At 36.2% G+C, this 23153-nt stretch overlaps 1 protein-coding gene across 5 annotated transcripts in view, besides 1 other annotated feature; it reads right to left on the minus strand.

The window, feature by feature from the left end:
* TOX3 (TOX high mobility group box family member 3) overlaps nucleotides 1-23153 on the minus strand; it is a 111387-nt gene that overhangs the window by 13473 nt on the left and 74761 nt on the right. For 3 of the 5 annotated variants that reach the window (XM_047433909.1, XM_011523002.3, NM_001080430.4), the window contains 3 exons: nucleotides 18621-18686; nucleotides 14046-14300; nucleotides 389-658 (listed from right to left, as the gene is read on the minus strand). In XM_047433909.1, coding sequence (XP_047289865.1) covers nucleotides 389-658; nucleotides 14046-14300; nucleotides 18621-18686 — 591 coding nt within the window. The remainder of the gene's footprint in view (nucleotides 1-388; nucleotides 659-14045; nucleotides 14301-18620; nucleotides 18687-23153) is intronic. The other 2 variants (NM_001146188.2, XM_005255892.4) reach the window with 1 other exon arrangement.
* Nucleotides 20593-21203: an enhancer, noted in NCBI's record as "OCT4-NANOG hESC enhancer chr16:52504393-52505003 (GRCh37/hg19 assembly coordinates)". NCBI's record gives its function as "activates a minimal SCP1, AML or CMV promoter by ChIP-STARR-seq in primed H9 embryonic stem cells {active_cell/tissue: H9 hESC(primed)}" and the evidence as "EXISTENCE:reporter gene assay evidence [ECO:0000049][PMID:30033119]".

A 23153-nucleotide genomic window follows, 5' to 3' on the forward strand; every position in this document is an offset into this window, starting at 1 on the left:
ACACACTGGATGAAACTTGCTCACATGGACATTAACTTAGAACCAGAGCAGTTTAGAATTTCTGGAATGTCTAGAATTTCTGGAAATTTGTAGCAGGGAGTCCAAGCCTTCCTTTTGCAGATTAGAAAAATTGGGCCTACAAGAATTAAATAACATGTCCAATGCCTTACAGCTATAGTAGGAGAAGCCAGATCTCTCAATTTCCAGTCCAATATACTTTCTACAGAAAATAAATGAAAGAGTGAAGAAAAACAACAAACCATCATACATTTAAATGCTACTCCAAATCCATGAAGACAAACAAGATAACACCATGAATGAAATTCAAACAGCATGGGGTAATCCCATATTCTCTGGCAGGTTACACACTAAGGCAGTTCTAACTTACTCTGTTGGCTTCATCAGCATCCTCTTCATTGATGGAGCTGGAAGGGGAGGGAGTGGCTGATTTGCTTGCTGGAGGTGAAGGAGATGTGTGAGGCATACTGGCACCTCCCAAATTCAACCCCAACTGGGCGCTGAGCTGAGACTGGTTGATGGTGGTGAGCTGGGCAGGAGGCATGACCCCAGAACGCGCAGCATCGGTCATGTGGACGATGGACCGCATGATCAGGGAGGGATCCTGCCGGTACTGGGACACTTGTGTGTGGCTCTGATCCTAGAAAGGCAGCAACAAAGGGGGAAAATATTTCAGCTTTTCCAGATATCAGTGAACTTATCAGGTTAGCATCTCCTTAGATAGGTTTGAACTGTTGCAATGTTGATAGGTCTGACCTATTGCAGGATGATGGTCTCCGTTCATTTATTAAATATAAGGACCCATGCCAAGAAGTTGAAAGTTGAGAAGCACAAAATCCAAATATCCAGAACAGAATATTTCATTATAGAACTGTCAGTGGATGTGGAAGGAAGGAAGGAAGGAAGGAAGGAAGGAAGGAAGGAAGGAAGGAAGGAAGGAAGGAAGGAAGGAAAAAAAGAAGAAAGGAAATTAGAAAAACTAAATATAATCTTTCATCTCTTGTTTCTTATTGAGTAAACTGGTGGCAGGGAAAGGGCTGAAGCAGAGACCGCACCCATTTAGGCTCATCCATTAGTTTACCATCCTTCTCAAACATGTAGCTGTTATGAGAGAAGGCGAAGCCATTCTTTATTTTATTCTCCCAGAAATGCACAGGGCACGCAGAGGATGGGCCAGCAAAGCATAGAGCTTTAGTTTCACAGAGCAAACATCTGTTTGCTTTAGGGCACCCTTTCTGTGAAATCCTCTGTGGTTAACCAGACGGTCATTCCGATTCTGAATTACATTGTCAGCGGCATCTGGAAGTCATTCAATGTCTTTTGGATTGGATATCACTTTTTTCACTTAAACTTACTTTGTTTTCTTTTGTTCAATCCATCATGATTTAATGTACTAATGAATTTCTTCATAAATACGTAAAAAAAGATGGTAGAAACCATCAGAAATAGCTTTTTCTGAAACTTATTGCAGTTACTTCAAATGCAGCTTTCTCTGTTCTTGGTAGTCATACAGAAAGGCCTTATAGTTGTTACTGCTTATTCTCTATTTTTTTTTAATTCCAAAGAATCAAAAAATGAAGACATGTTTTTCAAATGACTTACTTTAAGACATGTCATTTGGAGTGAGTCTGTGATTTTGCTGAAACCAAATTCTCTTGACTCACAGTGACCCAGAATCTAATTTTATACACAAGCCTATGAATTCTTAACTGTTCCTTTTTTGAGTCCTTCCGATAAGGCTTATTTTTGCTCTTTAAAGAAGCGGAATGAATTGTAAATAACTAAATTGGAGCATTTGGTTTCTTCATATTAAATATATAAATGCCACTCAATGAGAAGATCTATCAAAGAAAACTAGTTGAATAAATTATGGTCTACCCATACGTCAAAGTGTTATGAAGCTTTTAAAAATAATGAATTAGATTTATGTGCATTGACCTAGGGCAGAGTTTCTCAATTTCAGCTCTCTTGACATTTTGGACCAGATAATTTTTATTGTAAGGGCTTGTCCTGCATATTGAGGGGGCTTGTCCTGCATATTGTAGGTACTCAGATGCATCCCCAGCCTCTTCCCACTAGATGCTAACAACGTCCCTCCCCGTACCAGTCATGACAATGAAAAATGTCTCCAGACTTTGCCCCAGGCGGGGCAAAACCACTCCCAGTTGAGAACCACTAACCTACCCAAGATACAGTACATAAAAGGCAAGTTAAAAAATAACTATACAGGACAGCCTTGTTTTCTTTGGGAAAAAAAAAAGTGTATCCTAACATTAACAATGGTTACATTATAAGGGGTAGAATGGGAGGGGCAAGGAGGGGAGAGTTTCAACTTTTTCTACGTACATGTGTATGCTGTTTTGATAAGCTGTGACCACAATACAAAAGTAAACATTGTTCAATTCCCACCTATGAGTGAGAACATGCGGTGTTTGGTTTTTTGTCCTTGTGATAGATTGCTGAGAACAATGGTTTCCAGTTTCATCCATGTACCTATAAAGGACATGAACTCTTCATTTTTTATGGCTGCATAGTATTCCATAGTGTATATGTGCCACATTTTCTTAATCCAGTCTATTGTTGTTGGACATTTGGGTTGGTTCCAAGTCTTTGCTATTGTTGTGGGGTGGGGGGAATGGGGAGGGATAGCATTAGGAGATATACCTAATGCTAAATGACGAGTTAATGGGTGCAGCACACCAACATGGCATGTGTATACATATATAACAAACCTGCACATTGTGCACATGTACCCTAAAACTTAAAGTATAATAATAATAAAAAAAAGAAATGGAAAAAAAAAGTAAACAAAAACTAAAACACTTTAATCAGAAAAAAAAGGAAGATAATGCAAGTGGTTAAAAGAGTCTGCCAACAAGTGTTAGAATATTAAATACATACATTTCCCATTTCTTAATAATTTCCGAATAATTACTGTGAAATCCTGGAGGAAAGTGTCACAAGTATCAGAACACCACACTCCCTTATATCACCGGCAGTGTTCTCCTTCGTTGTTCCTACAATATTACGTTCTACTTGCAGGTGTCTTTCTACAGATTGTGTGGATTTTATGTTATCTGTTCATCCTAATTATCTTTTTTTATTGGAATTCTACCACATTTGCTCATTTCTCCTAGAAAATCTGAGCTATCTATTCAGTCTTCCATGTTCTCTTGAAGTGTAACCACTGCTCACTGACATAACTTCCACCCCCACACTACTGGTAATTACGCCATCTAGCTTATTCTAAATTTTCGTCTTCATATATGTCTTTCAGAATGCTTTTTTTTTTTTTTAGATGGAGTCTCGCTCTGTTGCCCAGGCTGGAGTGCAGTGGTGCCATCTCGGCTCACTGCAACCTCCACCTCCCAGGTTCAAGTGATTCTCCTTCCTTAGCCTCCTGAGTAGCTGAAATTACAGGCACGCACCACCATACCCAGCTAATTTTTGTATTTTTAGTAGAGACGGGGTTTCACCATGTTGGTCAGGCTTGTCTCGAACTCCTGACCTCAAGTGATCTGCCAGCCTCGGCCTCCCAAAGTGCTGGGATTACAGGCATGAGGCACCGTGCCCGGCCCAGAATGCTTTTTAAAAATCTTTCCATCTTATTTAAATCTAGATGTTTTAAAGTATCTACAGGCAAATTCTAGGGCACATTTAAATGAAGTATTTTAATTCTGACTGTATAATACTAAATTAGTTAACTGGTATGGTCATGAAATGTGATCATCTGATTTATGCAGTTTTCTCATTAGCAGAGAGTTACTTTGCTCTCTTTGCTCCAATGCCTGTGAAAATTTGCACATATAGGTGCTCGATTGACTCACCCCACACCTAGAGCATTTTTCAGATGGCTATCATGGCCAAACACAAGCATGTCTCCTTGGCTTTGTCAGCCCTTCCTGAATTCCATCTGCAATTTATGCCTTTATTATGGATCTTGTTGCTGGGGAGCTCCTGCTGATAGACAGCCAAGGTTCACTGTACTAAAAAGGGAGTTTTACTGTGTGTTTATTACTATGAGCCAGCATTTGTGCTAAGCTTAATATGCACTTTCTAATTTAATCCCCTAGATTGCTTTCTGCATTAGATACTAGTACTATACTTATTCTTAGACAGATAAGAATGATTCCCCAGGCCCCCAAGCTAGCTAGTGAATGCTTGACAGAAAACCTGGGCCCTAGAGAGCCATGGTATCTTCACGGTAGAGGCATGTCCCGGCAGAGATAGATGAATAAGACTCTGGGATCTCCACTGCCATCATCCCCCTTTAACAAAATCAACTCCATTTCCATTTGTTTTATAAATTGAGGTTCCTCATAATATTTCATTACAAAAAAAAAAAAGATTATTTTGCAGTGTGACAGTATGGAAACCACTCCTGAAGAGTACTGGTGGTGGGGCCAAGGCCTTGCCAAAACTTAGAGTCATCCACATAGTCTTCAGATCCAAAAAGATGCCATCTCCCACTGGACAAGATACCAAGGGCCTCTAGACTATTTTTAAAGTAACCTCTGACCCACATAATTGATGCATCAAAATGTGCCACCACTCACCACGGTTCACAGTTATCCCATAATCACCTCCTATGAGTGAAGATTATAGTATAAGACGATTAATGGCTAAAGTGTCTCTTTGGAAATTCAAGCTCTTTTAGGGCCACAAATTATTAACAACTGCCTTGGGGAACTTGAGGATCCTCAACAGCTCCAATCATTTTCCATAAAAGTAACCTTTAAAAGATGTTACCCTTGATCTTAGGACTACCACATAAAAAGAGGAAGATGTCAGCTCAGTATAAAAGTATTTACTGAGCCCCTACTATGTATCAGGCCAGAGAAGGCAATATATCAAACCTTATATCTTTGAGAACCAGGAAATTACCATGCGATTATTTTACACATTAAACAAAATCCTGAATGGATGAACAAATTTACTACAACATAATGTAGGCCAGAATAATTTTTATATACTCCCACCAAAATTGCTCACAATTTTTCCCAGTAGTAATGACACAATAAGGAAATGTATAACTATGAATATAGCCCAGAGAAATTTAATGTGATTTTGTTAATATTACTTCTTACTTACAAAAATTAAGTCCTGAAAGATTTACCAGTGATCATTTAAAGGCAAAGCAGCTATTGGGTTCTAAGAGATTGCCCACTATCATAACCAACAATAAGAGCTGAATGCTGGTAGCTTTTTCAACTCCTTTCACAATTACATTTTATATGTAATGTTCCTTTATATAGTTTCCTAAATTTTTCAGTATTTGGGAAAAACTCATTCTCTCTGCCTTGTCTCGTTTTGTCTTCTAATTGGCGATATTAGATAAGAGTTTCTCAGCCTGAGTGGTACTGACATTTGGGTCTGGATGATCCTTTGTTGGGGGAGGGGCATTCTGTACATTATAGAATATTTAGCAGCATCTCTGGCCTCTACCCACTAGATACCAGTAGCCGCCCTTTCCCTACCGGGCTGTGACAACCAAAATGTATACAGACATTAGCAAATGTCAAAATCCCCTTCATTTGCAAATTACTGTATTAGACAAATATCATAAAAATCATCTCCTTGGGGGAGGCAGGTAGTGAATGTTCAAAGCTTATATTCTTTTCCTAAAAATAGAAAGCATCCACATAAACAAGATTCCAACTGTGATAAATATTGGGAAGAAAATAAATAGGTTATACAAAAGAGAGTTATTGGGGAAGGATGGCTACATTTGATTGGGTCAATAGGAAAGGCCTCTCAAAAAAGATAGTATTTGAGCTGATGCTGAAGGATGGGGAGAAGCCAACTGTGAAGTGAAGGGAAAAGCATGTCTCATGCAGAGGGAACAGCATGTGCAAGGTCTGAAGTGGGAGAGATCTTGACATGCTTGAGAAATGAAAAGGTGGACAGGAAAGCTGGGTGCAGGGTAGGCAAGGTAAAGGGTGAAATGCAATAGGCTTGGAGAGACTGGCCTCATTGTGTAAGGTGGGGAAATCATGGGATGCTTCCCCGAAGAGGTGACCTACTATGCTGAGGTATAAAGGGAAGTAGAAGCTAACCAAGCCAGGGCATCCCAGACAGAGATGAACATGTACCCAAACCTGGGGCATGGGCAAACATACTGCCGATAAGGAAATGACAGTCCAGTGTGACTGGGCCAGGAAGAGCATAGCTGGCTATGAGGCTGGAACGGCAAGTCATGGCCATAAAGTGACAAGGTTTATTGTCTGGGTTAGGAAGTCTGGATTATATTCACAGTGTAGAAGGCTGCCATTGAAAGTTTAAAGCATGGTATATATCTGGTGGGACTATTCATTGCAATAAATATTAACTGACCATACCTCATGGACAACCAACCCATCTAAATCAATTGCGGACATTTCTATTTAGTTTAAATATAAATGTATAGCCTGCCACCTCAATCTGTGTTTCGAAGAATACCCAAAGATTAACATTTGCAGTCACAGAAGGTCACTCAGAGTGGGTGGGCCATGGATCTCATAAAATGCTCTCACTAATAGGAGGGGCATTGCCTTCTATCTATTGGCCTATATGATTCATGCCTGTGGTGTTCAACAAAGCCTTCTGGTTTCTGTATGCCTTGGTGGGGGTAGGGGAGTGCCTGGCGGAGGCTCGCCTCTCTCTCCACCTGATGAAAGAGCCTCTTTGTCTTTTTTAAACAGGAAAAATCCAATGAATGGATATTTTGGGTAGCAATCCCTCATTTTCTTAAATTGCCTGAAACCCAGTCTATTATTGAACATTAATCATTTGAGTGAACGGTTAAAATCTGAATAATGTTATATTAATAAGGAAACTTTAGATCACTAACATAAATGAAAAATTAAAATCACTCATGGCCAATAGAATGCCAAATAAACACCAGGAAAAGAAAACAATACTGTTATAGTCAGTGTGGATACTGGGGCCTGCCTAAGGCTCTGGGCCTGAGTTCTGCTTTCTTTAACTTAAGAAGGCAAAAGAAAGGTGTGAAAGACTTAATTAGCCCCAAACTGAGTCTTTCTCCTGGACTTAATCAAGATTAAAAGAGAATTGAAAGGTGAAAAACTTCCTTACTGTGTAAGTCACTATGTTATAATATCATGTTTGTACTTCATATGAAGATATGTCTTAGGGTAGCAGGATATGAGAAGAGAATGGATAAAACTTGCTCTAATTTCCTTAAATGAGAAAACTCTACATATTTAAATCCTTTTCACTCATTTTTTCAAACCTGGAGCAGTGCTACATTTATCTTTGTGCTGCACAATTAGTAGTCCATAGCTATACATACTACGGTCTTGCTTTGTTTTGTTTCTTTTTGCAAATCTAAGATATAAGCTTTCACCCTGACATTTTATTGTAAATATTACACATTATTATTCTATATTATGTGTTTATACTTATTACAATGGCACTTACACTTGGGTTGATTTCATCATTAAAATTTTTTTAAATTCTAATATGCAAATGTGTTTAATGCATCTTCTATCTATACTTACACAGAAATATTCTCCATAACGATCCAATATTAGGTTTTCAAAATAGAGCATAACATCCAATTAAGAAGCAACTAACCCAAATATATTAGAGTGTGACTAAATATATTTTCACTGTGCCAGTTTTTAATCAATATTTCTTGAGAAATGAAGTAATTAAACAATTATCAGCAATAAAAATTACTTTGTATTCATAAATATCAGAGTTAACTGCAAATAGGAAATGCAGGCCAGTAATTTTATCTTCAATTATTTAGTTATGTCTTATAGCAATGTTAAAATTTTATTTCCAAATTAACAACGATCAAATAGTTATGCATAGCTACTACTTTTGTAACTCCAATGGACCCTGACACAGTAATGCCAAATGCATACCAATGATAATTACAGACCTGCATACCACCACCTTTATACTCATCAAAATATCTGCACTGAAATAGATCATTTTTACTTAATAACTACTCTCAGGGTTGTAATCAGACATACCTACCCATGAAAGTTTTGTAAAAAACAGTGTTCCCTAAAGTTAATTAATAGTTTCTTGGCAAAATAAAATTTTCAAGAGTTTATTATGAACACTTAATGGTAGTTTACTCATGTACCCTGCAACTGCCTTTGTTTTACCAAAGGGACAACTCCACACTTATTTTATTCAGTCCTAAATTAAAATTTTAAAGAGCAATTCCACTTTTTATAGCTGTTGATACTTCAAGCCCCCTCCCCTCCATTTTAACTTAGCAGTCTAAGTATGCTCTTAATAACAAGTAAATGTTCTTTCATTGTCCTTTTATTAATTTATATATTGAACAAATGAAATATTTATTGAAAGCCAAGTATATTCCAGGCCCAGGGACGACACCAAACAGACCCAAGGAGCACTTGCCTTCCTGGAGCTTCTATTCTGGTAGGGAGGAGACAGATGGGAAGCAAGCAAAGGAAACCATTGCAAAGGACGACAAGGGCTGTGAATAAAAGGAACAGGGGTAATGGCATACAGAGTAACTCTCACCTCTCCAAAAAATATTTGAGCCATCATGTCAGTCTTATGTGGGAATCTAAGTGCTGTAAAAGGGTGTCTTTGCTGTCTCTGAACCATCACTAAGTACTACAATACTTAACTGTAGATGATCTATGTTAAAAAGAAGATACAGGGAAATAAACCACAGCCAGCCTTCTCATAACATTTTCCTTTAAATGTTATAAACTAAACAATAATCATGTATCACACTGCACAAGGTCTAATTAGGTTTAGTAGAAGTTTGGAACACAGTCCTACTTTGACAGATGACCCTCAGGTTAACTCAGCCCTAAAGACAATTCCTATCTGTTCAGAGTCAGTAGTATGCACAGGCCAAGAATAAAGAATATTTATTTTAAGCTCAGTGTGGTACAAGGCTCTACAAAGAAGGCAGCTTGTAAAAGTGTCTGTGGCCTGGGTATTTTTGGCAGACAATTATCAAGGTATAGTAACAGCTAAATTAAAGTTGGTTTTTGACAATAAGCTTCTTTCAGGCAGCAGTCAGATTGAATCTCTGTAATTCATTGAGGGGACACTGGTAGTCAAAAAAAAAGAAAGAAACACAAAACAATTTCACAAACAGTATAATCAATCTCTAATGATTAAAAACAGGCCAGGTGCAGTGGCTCATGCCTCTAATCACAGCACTTTGGGAGGCCAAGACAGGAGAACAGCTGGAAGCCAGGAATTCAAGACCAGCCTGGGCAACTGAGAGCAAGGCCCTGTCTCTATAATAATTTTAAAAACTAGCTGGACATGGTGGCACACACCTGTAGTCCAAGATACTCGAGAAGCTGAGGATCGCTTGAACACGGGAGTTCGAGACTGCAATGAGCTATGATCATACCACTGTACCTCAGCCTGAGTGACAGAGTAAGATCCTCTCTCTAAAAAATATGTAAAATTAAAAAAAATAACAACAAACAATATACAGCACTTAGTAGGTGCTCAGTAAATATTCATTGAAGGTTAATATATGGCTTCAGTTTTATAATTTAGAGTTCATGCAGATAGGTCTTATTCCATTCAATGTGTATTTTTGCCTAGGTAAGTTGTGACCTTTACATTGTTAATTTATAATAAAATAGTTTTTGACCGTAACTTGACCAAAATTATTCAATATGTATGATAAATTTGTAAGCATTCAATTTGTATGAGAAATTGCTTGTCCCCCCATGGCTAAATAGTCATCATCCTGTGAACTTTAGCTCCCCAGCCTCTATTGACAATGGCAATGAATGCGTTCATAACAATAATAAAGGCTTGTTTTAATAGAATGTTCCATGCATTAAACACATTAATGACCCATGAAATAACGGCTTTATCTGTAACACATTAAGCAACGTTGCTAAAAACAACATATTAATTGAAAGTCTGCTATTTCTCTTAACGTAAGATTTTTTTAAGTATAAAAATGGCATGAAAGTCATTTTCTTAAAAATAAATATAATAATTCAACTTCAAAATTAGAGCCATGCCAAGTATAATAATAAAAAAAACTTCTAAAATAAGCCTGGTAATTTTAGATGTAATATTTTGATAAATTGCCATTTTTCTATCAAAAATGATATCTGTCTGGATTATGACTTAAGAGTCTTATGAATATTTTAAAAGCTCATAATTTTCTTCTCTGCATAAATGTCTCCTATAGGACCTTTTCTTCTCTTTTTCTCTTCCCTTTAACAGGTACGAATACTACCATACTCAAATACTTTCCTTACTTCCATCTTTTTCAATTTTCTAATACTCCGTTTGATATTGCTAGAGCACCACTATAGCATTTTCTATAAATATGTGTGATCACAATTAAATCCAAGGTAATATCAAACAGAAAATGTCAGTCCTCTAAACATGGAAATATAATATATGAAGAAAAGTATGTGAATTATCAGTGTGTTTTATAAATTCTCTTTTGGGGGGCATACAAAATATCAGACCAGAGACAATTATTTTACTGTCTGTTTCTTAGATATCAAAGAGAATTTTGAAATTCATCAAAGCTAACCTTCTGTTATGTACAACAGGCTAAGCTGAAAAGAATGTTAACAAGTTCAATTTTCATTCAATCAGCACTACTGCTCTCTGAAATGTTTCATTGCAGGAAAGAAATAAAAATAATCTATATGGTAATTATGAGGATGAATCCCCCAGTAACTTTCAGCTACATGAAAGGTCAGTTCTATTCAAGATATTTTATCAGTCCCCTGCACATACTCCTGTCCTGTCATTTTAAATCTGAACAGCATTTTATTTTCCCATTTACAGCTACCTGCAGAATTAAGTACTTAAGCCAAATAAGAAAAAAAAAAGAAATGTTGAATGCTGGCAAAGGCTATAATAGCATAGAGATAAATCGTTCATCTGCTCTCTCTCAAGCCTCTAGGGCTGCAGATTTTTCTTCTCCTGGTGCACTGTGGGTATTCAAAACTTGTTCAACATGATTTCATTTCATTTCAGGCACTGCCTGAGAAAACTAAATTACAGAATCAATCATACAGAAGGTCAGAGTGAGACTTCATTACAAGTATTGCATGCTTGCATGAATATCTTTCATTTATGACTGACCCAATATGTCACAATAGCTGTCTAGTAAAAATAATCCACTTTCTGAAATTGATGTACTACTGATGTCAGTGCTACTCAGCAGGCTGGGCAGATTATAGAGAGGTGTTAAAAAAAAACACACACAACCCTTTGGAACTCACATTGTAGATTTTTAGAATTGCAATCTTTTGTGGATTAAAACAATTTCCTCTGATCATCTGAACTGACAATAACACTTAGAGGTAACAAATTTTTAACCAAAATATACTGTTGATTTTGACTTGCCAACCACATCCTGTTTTAAAATACACGTATTCACGACAAGCAAATCAAGGTTGTTCTTTGAAGTCACAAATGCATCGACATTCAATTTTTCAGCAATTCGCTTTTGAATACTGGGGCATTATTTGCATATTTTGAAATGTGAATGCTAATCACTGGACTCTTTTTAATCCCCCTTTTTTGTTCCTGCCTTCTGTTTTTAAATATAATGGCATAAATTTAACGAAGATAAACATGTTGTGCTTGTTGCCAACAATAATGCAGCTAATCAGTAATGTGACAAACTGTCACTCTTTCTAAAGGAAAACCGATGAAGCTCTGAAGAAAAGCTGGTTCAATACAACATCAACAAGCTGGCTTTTCTTCTTATATGATAGTCTTAATTCACCATAGCAATCCTTAACAGACAGCCATATTCATTTGGATAATAAAACTTCTTACTTGCATAAGGTATGAAATATCCAACACACACTGGGAAGCTGAATGCATGACGTATAAAGTATTATTTATTATTTTTCTGGTGACTTTCCTAAGGGAAATCTCTGAGGAGGCTTCTGTGGAGTGTTATGATGTAGCCAGCCAACTCAGTACCCGCAGAGAGATATAGAAGAACCCTGACATAACCAATTTTTAACCATGCCTCTGGCGATTCTGAATTCAAGTTTATAGGTGAACATGTCAGGTAGTACATAGAACAAAGCCAACAACACATTGTATTCATCATAATTCTGTCCTAGTACATTTTATTTTTTTCCAACATTTGTGATTTAAAATCCCATGACATTTCTTCAAGGTGAAATTCTACTAGAATTTTCAACAAGATTAGTTTGTTTCAAGCCAAAATAAATATCACTCAGGTTCAGCAAAACTTCAAAAAGGCACCAATAAATGTGATGAGGTCCATGTAAATACCATGACAACAGCCTGCACTTAGCTAAAGTACCTATACTTTTAAAAATCAATGAAATAATTCAACTGCTTTAGTGATTAGCCATACATTACAAAAGAAGCATTAAAAATTGAGTCCTCTTTCCCAACGCCAGTCCGTGAAAGCATTGTTCTTTAAGTGTATGTGAATATCATAATTATTTTATGATTCCATCTTTAGTTCTTTCCAATATAGTAAATTCAATTGACCATGAAATGAAATTTCATAGTCAAAATGCCTCCTTTACACTTTTTTATGGCAGCAATAACAGTTTTATAGCTTTAAGGCAAGGTAATTCATCAGATGTTTAATTTAAAGGCAGATTCTTATATTATTAATAAATATTTACCAATTTAAGAAAGTACACATTTTAACACACATTTAACTATTTCTGCAACTTAAATGAGCCTCTCTGAGCATCTATGAATGATGGTGAACCCTGGCAAACTCCCTTGGTGACTAAACACACCCATTTTATTTTTATTCTTTTCTAAGCAAAACATTGCAAGCCTGGCTGTAGAGAAACAGAGAATAGAACCCTCCATTCCAGTGTCAAAGGTACAAAAATATAAGAAAGTCCCCAGGAAACAATTATTTGTGATGTCTAGTAACGTTTATGAATACTTAATGACTATTTCCCGACTGTTCACTGAATTCTTTTCTGACCAAAAAAAAAAAAGTAAAAAATAAAAACCCTGATGTTCAGCTCAAACACAAAAGATCACAAGCAAAGAAAATTATGTTGCTGCAATCCTATTTGGGAAAGCAATCTTATATTTCAGAGAGCACTTTGAATCTTTGCACCACTAATCCACTACATATTTTGCAATCATATGTTGTTATCTGGGGAATTAACAATGAAGCCAATAAACATCACTGGCATGGTCCTAATGTGCAGAGAAATATGTAAACAAGCAAGAGGATTTGTTTTTTGTTATACCAACACATCTGTTTCATTTTATCAGGGTTTTTTAAAAAAAAGCTCTATAAACTATTAATCTTGTTTTAAAAATGTCTACTTAGTACCTCACCTAGCTAGACACAAATGCATTATATGCTATGATGGAAAAAAAAGAAAAATCCCAGCAGAAGAGTTTAAAATACTTAAGCAGATTTACTCTAGTGATTGCTGACTATAATTGCACACTAAGAAAAATAGAACCAAAATTATTGCATTAGTTATCTTGGCTCTCTGGAGTGCCTTAATCGATGTTTATGACAATAAATAACGCAATTAGGTGTATTTCACATAATCACTTGTTCTATATTTTTCTCTGCTGGTTATAAGCAATTATACTTTTTCCCTTTTTTGGTATCTCAGTTTGGTATTTCATTTGCAATAAGAATAAATCGTGTATCGTAAGCATTATAATACTAAAAACTCAAAAGACTTAGGCACCTGATAAGGACTTCCATTTCTAAAATCTTGCCTGGGCAAACTTTCAACTCAAGCACACCTTTGTGTTAAGCCAACAGCAAGGGAAGATTGGCTACTTCCAAATTAATGAATTAGACTTTAAAAAAAAATCATTTTAAATCAGCAGACTCTTTTTGGATCATCCTCTTTTTGGTTACTGTCAACCAACCCAATACCCCTTTGTTCAATACCAGGCAGCGATCCAGTACCTGCATGTAAATAGCACTAGAATCAATCCACTAGGAACAGGCAAGAGCACGTTTCAGAACATGGACTCTCAGATCTTTACTATGATTTGTGCAAATGATAAAAAATAATTTAAGTAATAAATGTGGTGCCTACCATATGCAACCCACTGCTATGAAGCACGCCATCTTGTTCCACGAGATTTCTTGAGATTGTAATGGAAGGGAGGTCCAGGCTTTGAGGGGGAAACTGGGGTGTGAATTCACTTCCCTGGGAAGGCAATGGATCGCTGAGGGCTTGAAAGGGTAGCAGTACATCCGGCATGCCTAGGGCAGGGTCTGACTCTGGAGGAGGCGTGATTGGTGGAATTTCGAATTCCTCGTCCCCAAGGCTTGGTGTGTGGAATGTCTGCTAAAAGGAAACAAAATACAGGTATCTTCATATTCTGTTCCTATATCTTATTCCTCCGGGGAGGGAAAGAGAAAGACATTGCATGAAAACACTACATACATATCTAGGCCAAATATTTATTTCTCAAATGAAAATATCTTAAACACAGATTTCCATATATAAAGTTTTGCTGATCATTCTGATTAAAGATTTAAGTCTCATTATCATATGGTTTTAATGGAGTATCAGTATTAACAGTTTTTTAATGCCTACTTAATTAGCAACATCTGTCTTTGTTGTTAGTTGGAGCATATAACAAATTGCTACTTTATTGATATGTTAGTGAAACAGCTCAAACCGCTGACACTATCCACATGCTTTATAAAATGCTGATGATTTTGTGGCATGCACACACACACACACATATTAATCCAGAAGTGAACATTACATATATTTACTTTCTGCCACAACATATAAAACAAGTAATATTAAATTTGTGGTTTGCTTTTTTAATTTCCTCATTGGTATATTCCCAAGTGCAATGACTACTTCTATGGAAATTGTTACTGTGTGTAATACAATGTTTTATATAAGGATTATCATAGTTCATATTAAAAGATGCCAGCGCTTTTATTTAAACTACAAAGAGGGTTATTTTCTTTTACATGAACATTTTAATATGTATTTATCTGAACATTTTCTACCAGTCTTCGACTTTTTAAAGATGATCTAGAGAGCATAGAGCTATATTGATATAGAAATACTAACTAGATTTGATGCTGTTCGCTTACTTAGAGAAGTATTATATCTCAAGACCTAAGTAAGTCTTAATGCATTCTTTTTTTTTTTTTTTTTTTTTTTTTTTGAGACAGAGTCTCGCTCTGTCTCCCAGGCTGGAGGGCAGTGGTGCCATCTCGGCTCACTGCAAGCTCCGCCTCCCGGATTCACGCCATTCTCCTGCCTCAGCCTCTCGAGTAGCTGGGACTACAGGCGCCCGCCACCATACACGGCTAATTCTTGAATTTTTTAGTAGAGACGGGGTTTCACCGTGTTAGGCAGGATGGTCTCGATCTCCTGACCTTGTGATCCACCCACCTCGGCCTCCCAAAGTGCTGGGATTACAGGAGTGAGCCACCGTGCCCAGCCAATACTGAGATTCTTAAAGGCAGTGTTTTAAAATAGGGCCTCGTGATATAAATCAGTGTTGCTCCACCCAACCACACTAACCATTTTTGGGGGGATTTTTTTGGCGAGAGGTTCTGGGGGAGTGGCAAGGTCTAGGTTTTTTTTTGTTTCTTTTTGGTTTTTTTTTTTTTTTTTTTGGTCAGGTGGAGGGTTTGGGGGGCTACTCATATTTTTTATTCCTAGCTCAGAGAGTCAAACTTATAGTTCATTTACTATTAATAGTATTTGAAAGAATGAACTGGTGCAAGATAATTTGAGTCTGCTATTATCAGTTAAGAGGACTAATTAAGTGCTGAAAATCATCATTCTTCAAGCTATCAATCATGATATAATGTAATGACCACTTGAGGGAAAAGAAAAACTCAAGAAAAAAAAGCAACAAAAAACATTTCTTACATATAGAACCTGTCAAATGTTATTTGTATCTCACCAGAAAAAAAGAGGTCACGAGCTATGGCAGTCTATGGTGGGACAACTGAACATCTTGAGGTTCTTAGCAGGCTCAATATATTCAAAACATCGTAGCAGAATAATACATTTGAATGCTAGACTAAAATATTGGATTTTCTGACACATGCATTCTAATAATGACCCCAAAAGCTGTCAGTTTCTAACTGTGGAACCCCTAGTTCCCAAACACAAAGGGATGAATTGGCCACAAACGTGGTTGGCTAATGAGCATAACCCTATGGTTGCATTTGCCGTTATTTTGGCACTAATATGGTCTAGTAACAGATGCAACTGTAATTTGTGACTCATTTGCTACCCCATTACTGCTTAATGAAATCTAACATATCACATTAACAATACGGATAAACACTCATTCTTGATATGTGGCATTTGGCTGTTTTCATTACCACTGTAATTAACACTTGAAATATTATTTCAATAAATATTTAAAGTACTTTAAAAATGGTCAGGGTAATCATGACACAGATAGAAAACATAAAGCAAATGTGTGAATTTCAAACTCAGAGTATCCTAGTTCCTGTAGTGTTATCTACAGGACAATATCCATGTGAAGGGAATTGGTTTCAGGCACAATTTAGACTTTACAGCATGCAAACCTAAAGACTTCCTGAATTAGTTTACACTCATTAAAATGTTAAAAAACCAAGTAAATTTACTTTTAATGCAGTGACTGGGAAATTAGGCACGTGCTATAATGTAGCATTAACATTTACTTGGGCTTTATTTTTTGTTCAAGAAAAGATGTACAGAGAAATCATTACATAAGATTACTTCCAAAACTAACATAAAACATGTCTATGCTAAGCAGTCATAATTAGGAAGGTTTTTATTTTTGTTCAGGAACAGAGAGAGATGTCATATGCAATATGTCCCTATGGTATAATTTTTTTAACGACAAATTAATTTCAATTAAGCATATTACAATATCCTAACCTAATATAATAATCCACTGAAATAACCAAGAAAATGTTAAAATGTTAAACTACCTTTAAAGGCAGGTAATATATTAAAATTAAGCTTTCCTTAGAGAAAAAAAGGAATCCAAAATGCTGGATATCTGAGATTATAAAAAAATAACCACATATGGCATCAACAACAACAAAAACAACAAAAAGACACACTGACTTTGGTAACTGTGCCATCTGACCAATATCAGATTAATCATTTAGAGTTTACGTGATTATTTTTTTACAGATATTGACTTTTCAATGTTTACCTTGAACATGTTAAAGTAGTATGTACATGGTTAAATACCATCTGTACTGAAATGTTCAAAACATTTGTTCCTTTTGATAAAAATGCAAATCTGGAGAACTGTTGTATCAACATATAACAGCCAATGTCTGACACGGTGAATTATCACAGCTGGAATTAAATTGTCTCTGAACAGCTGCTGGCAGTAGAGCTTTCATCAATGTTTGATTCAAATGTAGGGAAAAAAAAATCCTACAGAATGAAACATCATGTCGTCCTTACAGATGGGGTTTGTGTTCATTACCACAAACAACACAGCAGCCAGTGCCAAACAATATTCCCTTATCTAAACTGTCTTCTTGGTTAGAGAGATGATGGTCACTATAAAAATGATTAATCTAGGAATAGCTTTAATTCTTGATCCCCCGTTTATTCTAATAATTTCTCAAAGTTAATTTCTTTCATAACACTTGCCTCCCTTTACCAAGATCATTTATGAAGCCATTATTATTTTCATTCTCTGGGGTCAAGCTAGTTCAGTTTCCTGTATTTGAATGTATCTGGAAAATGAGGACTTTATATTACATGAACCACAAGAGGAAATGTTCCATTTGGGCCAATTTCACTTCTGTTTGTTCTTGTTCTAAAATCTTAAATCTCACACAGTCTACCATTTTTAGGAAACCATGTTTTATCTAATCAAGATTGAGGTTTTTCTGGAGGGCAGGCCAATGAGACCAAACAGCAGCCCAAAATCAATAATAGGAAATGCAGTAAAAAGAGCAGCAAGAAGATGATGCTTGTTTCATCTGCACCCGTAAACTGAAGACAGACCCAGAGACAATGAGGTGCTGCATTTTGATTCCATCACCCAGTTTCCCCAGCTGTGACCAAGTCTTGGAGCATGCCAGCCACTCATTCATTCATTCTATAAATATTTATTGAGCACCTACTACTGCCAGGCACTGTACTGGGCTGTGGGGATCTAGCAACAAATTACAACACTCATTTCACATCACCCCAAGCCCCAGGAAACTATAATACTCTTCTGTCACATAGTTTCCCAAACCATGACAACTTAATGACACTTAATTATCCCTAGATATATGTGAAGTTAAACTATTTTCCATTAAAAGTCACTTCTAGCCTGGTATCTAAAAAAATAACCACTTATCTGCTTAGATACCAACACTGTATATGTGTGTGTGTGTGTTTTAACATACATTCTTATATATTTACTTTTTGTTTGCATTATTTTTTAATCAAAAGATTCGTATGAAGTTACTAACATTAGTAACAGTCTACAGACAAGTGATAAAAGACTTATCAGGTTTTCTTTTCCAATAAGCTTTTCTCTTTTCTCCTCCAAAGTAGTTACCTTGTGCCACATAAGAGAGAGATAAATTTGATACTTTGTTTTTCCCTTCAAGCCTATTAAATTATCTCAATAACACAAAAAACAGGAACAAACACATTAAGACAGTCACCTACCTCACTGGCAGCGAAGAACGCATTGTTCGCCTCAGCCATATTCATATAGTTATTATTATTTCCAAACTGAAAGAAAACAGATTGTTTTACGTTAATATGCGGCATAATAAAGCATTCTGGCTGTGATTTGGAAAGAATGCTGGTGTTGCTAAATAAAAGAGAGTTTTATCAGCCCAAATGCAAAACATGACAAAGGTTTCAAGGCTATACTGTCAGCTGGTTCCCTCAGAAAATAAAGCACAGAGTTAAGCTAACTCAATAATTCTATAAAATAGTTTTGTTTCTCATCAAGACTAACTGTGAAGGGAAAGGATTACAAACATTAAGCCAACTGGTCACCAGTGTGTGTTGCTTATTGACCTGGCATTTGTGAGAGGTGAGAGGGAAAAGAGTTTCCAAGAAAATCACCTTGACACATTTTAAAAGCATGTAAGGATTTTATAGCTTAGTTTTCAAGAACAGATGTCACAAGTGTGGGTAGGTTAAAATATGAATTAAAGGGAATAAAATTCAATTCCCAGGACTCAAATTCTATTTTCTAGTGAATGGGGTGTGGCATGAATATAAATTGTAAGACTAAAGAATATTTTTAAAATCTCCAAACAGAGCTTAAAGCGATATCTATATCCATCAGAGTTGCTGAAAACAGTGATATTTAATCTCTCAATGTAACATTAAGTGCAAAGAGGTTTAAAAATAAGCGGGATCTCATGAACACATCAATTTTTATTTCATTCGCTAACACAATGGGCCATTCATATCATCACAAATAAGACCGTATCAGCATTTCAGACTTAAGCTCTTTACCTCTAGGGACCTGTTATCAAAACGTAAAACTTGGATTTTGGCAGAAATGTATTTTCAGGTTCAAATGGTCTAAATCGGCACATTTTGTTGCTTTAAACATTCCATTATCAGTCTGGTAATATGGAAAGGCTCTGTGAGTATAATAATCTAGAGCTATATTATTTTCATGATTTTTAACTGGTAAAAGAATGTCCTTTTTATAAAGTGTATTATTTCCTTCCTTGAATGCATCAAATAAAACATAGGTTTGATCTCCAAAGGGTGAAATGTGTATATCTATTCTCTAATATAAATAAAGCTAGTAATTATTTAAAGATAGAATTTTCCCAAGGAGAGTGAGAGATGGATGGATGGAGATAAATGGGTAGGTACATAGATAAATACACAGATAAATATTGAGAATAAATAGAATATGGAGAGAGATACATAGATATGGAAGACTCATATAATCCTCTTCCTCAATAAACTAACACTTATTTCTGGGGGGCTCTCAATCTCTGACTCTGAAGGACTTACACCCAGAAGCAGGATTGACATGCTACACTTTATCATGTCAGGGATCCAAGAACTAAGCAGGATTTATACAAAAGACTCTAATGGTTCCAGAGTATCCCACAACAGCCAACACACCGAAATGCACATACAATGAGTCATCCGACAAGCTCTCACTGAGCACTCAGCTTCATTTAGGTAAATATCTTTATAAGGATTTCTGAAAGATGAATTGGCGCTTAAGAAAGACCTTTATCTGGTTTCTCTGAAGGCATGTGATATCAGAAACATGTGCATGGCTGCACATGGGCACACACACACTCACACACATATTTTCCCTTGTTTTTCTACAATGTTAAATACATGCAAGAAAAAGTATTTTAAGTATTTTATTTTCTATCATGAAATTTTTGATGAATGAATGATGCTAGAGTTAAAATCTCAGGTCTCCATGCAAATGTTCCTTTTGGATATTTATGAGAACCTGGGCTCGAGATGAGTATTCCGTGCACCAGTCCTGGCCCCCCAAACCGCCTAACAACATATATCACAACCTCAACGTTATTTAAATGTAGGTTTTGTTGGGGAATTAGAAATCCATTTAAAGCAAACAGCTCATTATCACAGAGTATTTTTTTTAAGATTAAACTTACTTATTATCTAATAGCACCTAAAACAACAAAGAAAAATAAAATGGCTATTAAACTAAAGGCCTAAACAATTCAAAAAACAAATTAAGCTTAGAGTGAAATAAGAACTGGGTTAGAAATCCTCTTCTGAACAGTTAGTATGCGAATGTAATTACTGAAGAAACTACAGCTAATCAGCTGTGAATTGTATCCATTAATTAGTATTTGCCCTGGAGAAATGAGAAAAATCAGTAACAACACTGGCACCGCAGTGCACACTGATGAGCAGAGCAGGCCACGCAGCGTTTAGTCAAGCAGGTGGCTCCAGTGGTCCAGGTAATTTGAAACGCTCTTACCTGAAGTACTGAGCTAGCATTACAAAGCACTCCTTGCATATCTTTTGTATCTATAGAAGGCCTTAATTAATGGCTTTTAATTTGGAAACACTTGCTGATCAGGCGGGAACAGTTATAAATCACTTCAAATAGAACTAAAGGTTTCTATTCTGTATTGGGTAAAACAGCCCCTCTACAAAGGGGGCTTTAAATATTGACTTGTTGCAGGCAATTGTCTTTCTCCTGCATAGGTACCTGGGACCCTAGTTCAGTGTGGCAAGGTAGTTAGATAATATACAGGACACCCAGTTAAATTTATTGAATAAACAGCAAATTTGCTTTAGTATAAGTATATCCCATGCACTATTTGGGGTATACTTATAATAAAAGAACTATTCTTTATTTATCTGAGATTCAAATTTAACTGGGTGCTGTGTATTTTTATTTGGTAAATCTGGCTACCCTACCATGGTGGTTAAACTAATCAGAATGAAAGGGTGGTATTTTCATTTGATTACCTTACCTAGTAATGCTAGCTTGATCTTATTTGTTTTATTTTAAAATGTGACCTATGAATCCTGCTTTAGTCATTTGGTGTAAGAACAGATCTGATTCTGAGAGAAAAAGTGCTCCTTTGGGGCAGGTCTCTAATATAATGACCTCAGAACAATTAACTTTAAGTGAATTGTGTACAATTAAATTTACTTTATGTTCTAAGAGGCAGTGACATCAGTAAACACATTATAGTACAAAACCCCATAGGTCCATGGGGAAGGGGCCTTAACTGTGTTCACTGACATCTCTCCCAGAACTAACAATGTCTGGAATATTATAAGCACTCTAGTATTTGTTGAAGGGAGAGAGGGAGAAAGGTTGATCACACATAAACTTCAATGCCTCCTAATCGCCCATCCTAACTGGAGTCATTTTCACTTACTTTTTAAAAGATGATAGGAATAAGTATTTAGCCCAGTGACACCCTCTACATACTTTATTTCATTTAGTTTTCCAAACTGGGACTAATCATAATCTATTTTCCCAACACCCAGTAAGATAATTATCATCCCTATTTTATGGATCAGTAGACTGAGGCTTCTAGGGCTCAAGTAACTTGCCGAAGGTTATAGATTCAACCACGGAAGTCTAGCCTCCTCCCTACCTCATGATCTCTATCATTTACATTCCGGTATCTGCAAAAGCTTGAGTATTTCACTCAGTGATCAATTCAGTTTTACTTTTTTATCTATTTTACTCAAAGTTAGAATTTCCCAGAGGTACTCAAGTCTAGTAAAATGCTCCTCAAGAAATGGTTCCATGGTCCAGTAAGGTTGGGAAAGGCTGACTTCCCTTTGATGAGTCACGATGCTCGCTATAAAGTTAAAGGCTCTGAGAAGGCCCACAGTTCCTTCATCCAACAAATATTTATGTGCCTATTATGTACAAGGGGCTGTGCTAGGCACTGGAGGCAATATTATGGAAAAGATGACGAATTTTCTACTTGGATGAAGCTTACATTTTTCTTAAAGGGGGAGACAGGAAACAAACAAACAACATGCTGTGGATCACTTGCTTCTGTTTCCCCTGCAATACCCTGTGAAATCACAGTTTGGGAAGGCTTGTTCTAAGCCCTTTATTGACAATATTATTTTATTTTCCCTGAATCTTTCTTAGGAAAGCTAATATCCTAATTTTACACCATGGTAAAATGTATTTGTTTTATTAATATGAATCAACTAAATAAGAATTTTTAATTATTCATTCTAAGTCACCTTAACTTGGTCTATTTCTAAACTTTCTAGATTATAACCCTCCACTGATGTCCCCTCAAAGATCCCCTACTCAACCATATATGGGGCCTTCTATGCAATTTCAAGAGTCAAGACAAAATATTCCAAATAAACTAAATGAATATCAGGTAAAGTAGTTAATTGTTCTAAAGGTCATATACAAACATTATTAAAGAAATCAGGCAATTCCAACTGTTTTAAAGACACATAAATGGTCACTGGGAATCAGGGGTATTTGGCATTTATGAGGCACACTGGTGGTAATAGGTCCTTTTCCATGCTGATAGGCTCTAATAGATGTGATCCCCAAAGATAGAGTCCCCAAAGATATCATTATAAAGCAGAACTAAATTACTCTGCATTGAACTTCTGTATCTTAATAATTTCAAAAAGAACATCCTCATTGTACTTGGAGGTAGATTTGCTTTTGCTGCTTGATGAGTAATTATAGCTTGGGCAAATACAATTTGTGAAGGATGTCAA

The sequence above is a fragment of the Homo sapiens genome, chromosome 16 (assembly GCF_000001405.40).
Source record: "Homo sapiens chromosome 16, GRCh38.p14 Primary Assembly".
Taxonomy (NCBI): domain Eukaryota; kingdom Metazoa; phylum Chordata; class Mammalia; order Primates; family Hominidae; genus Homo; species Homo sapiens.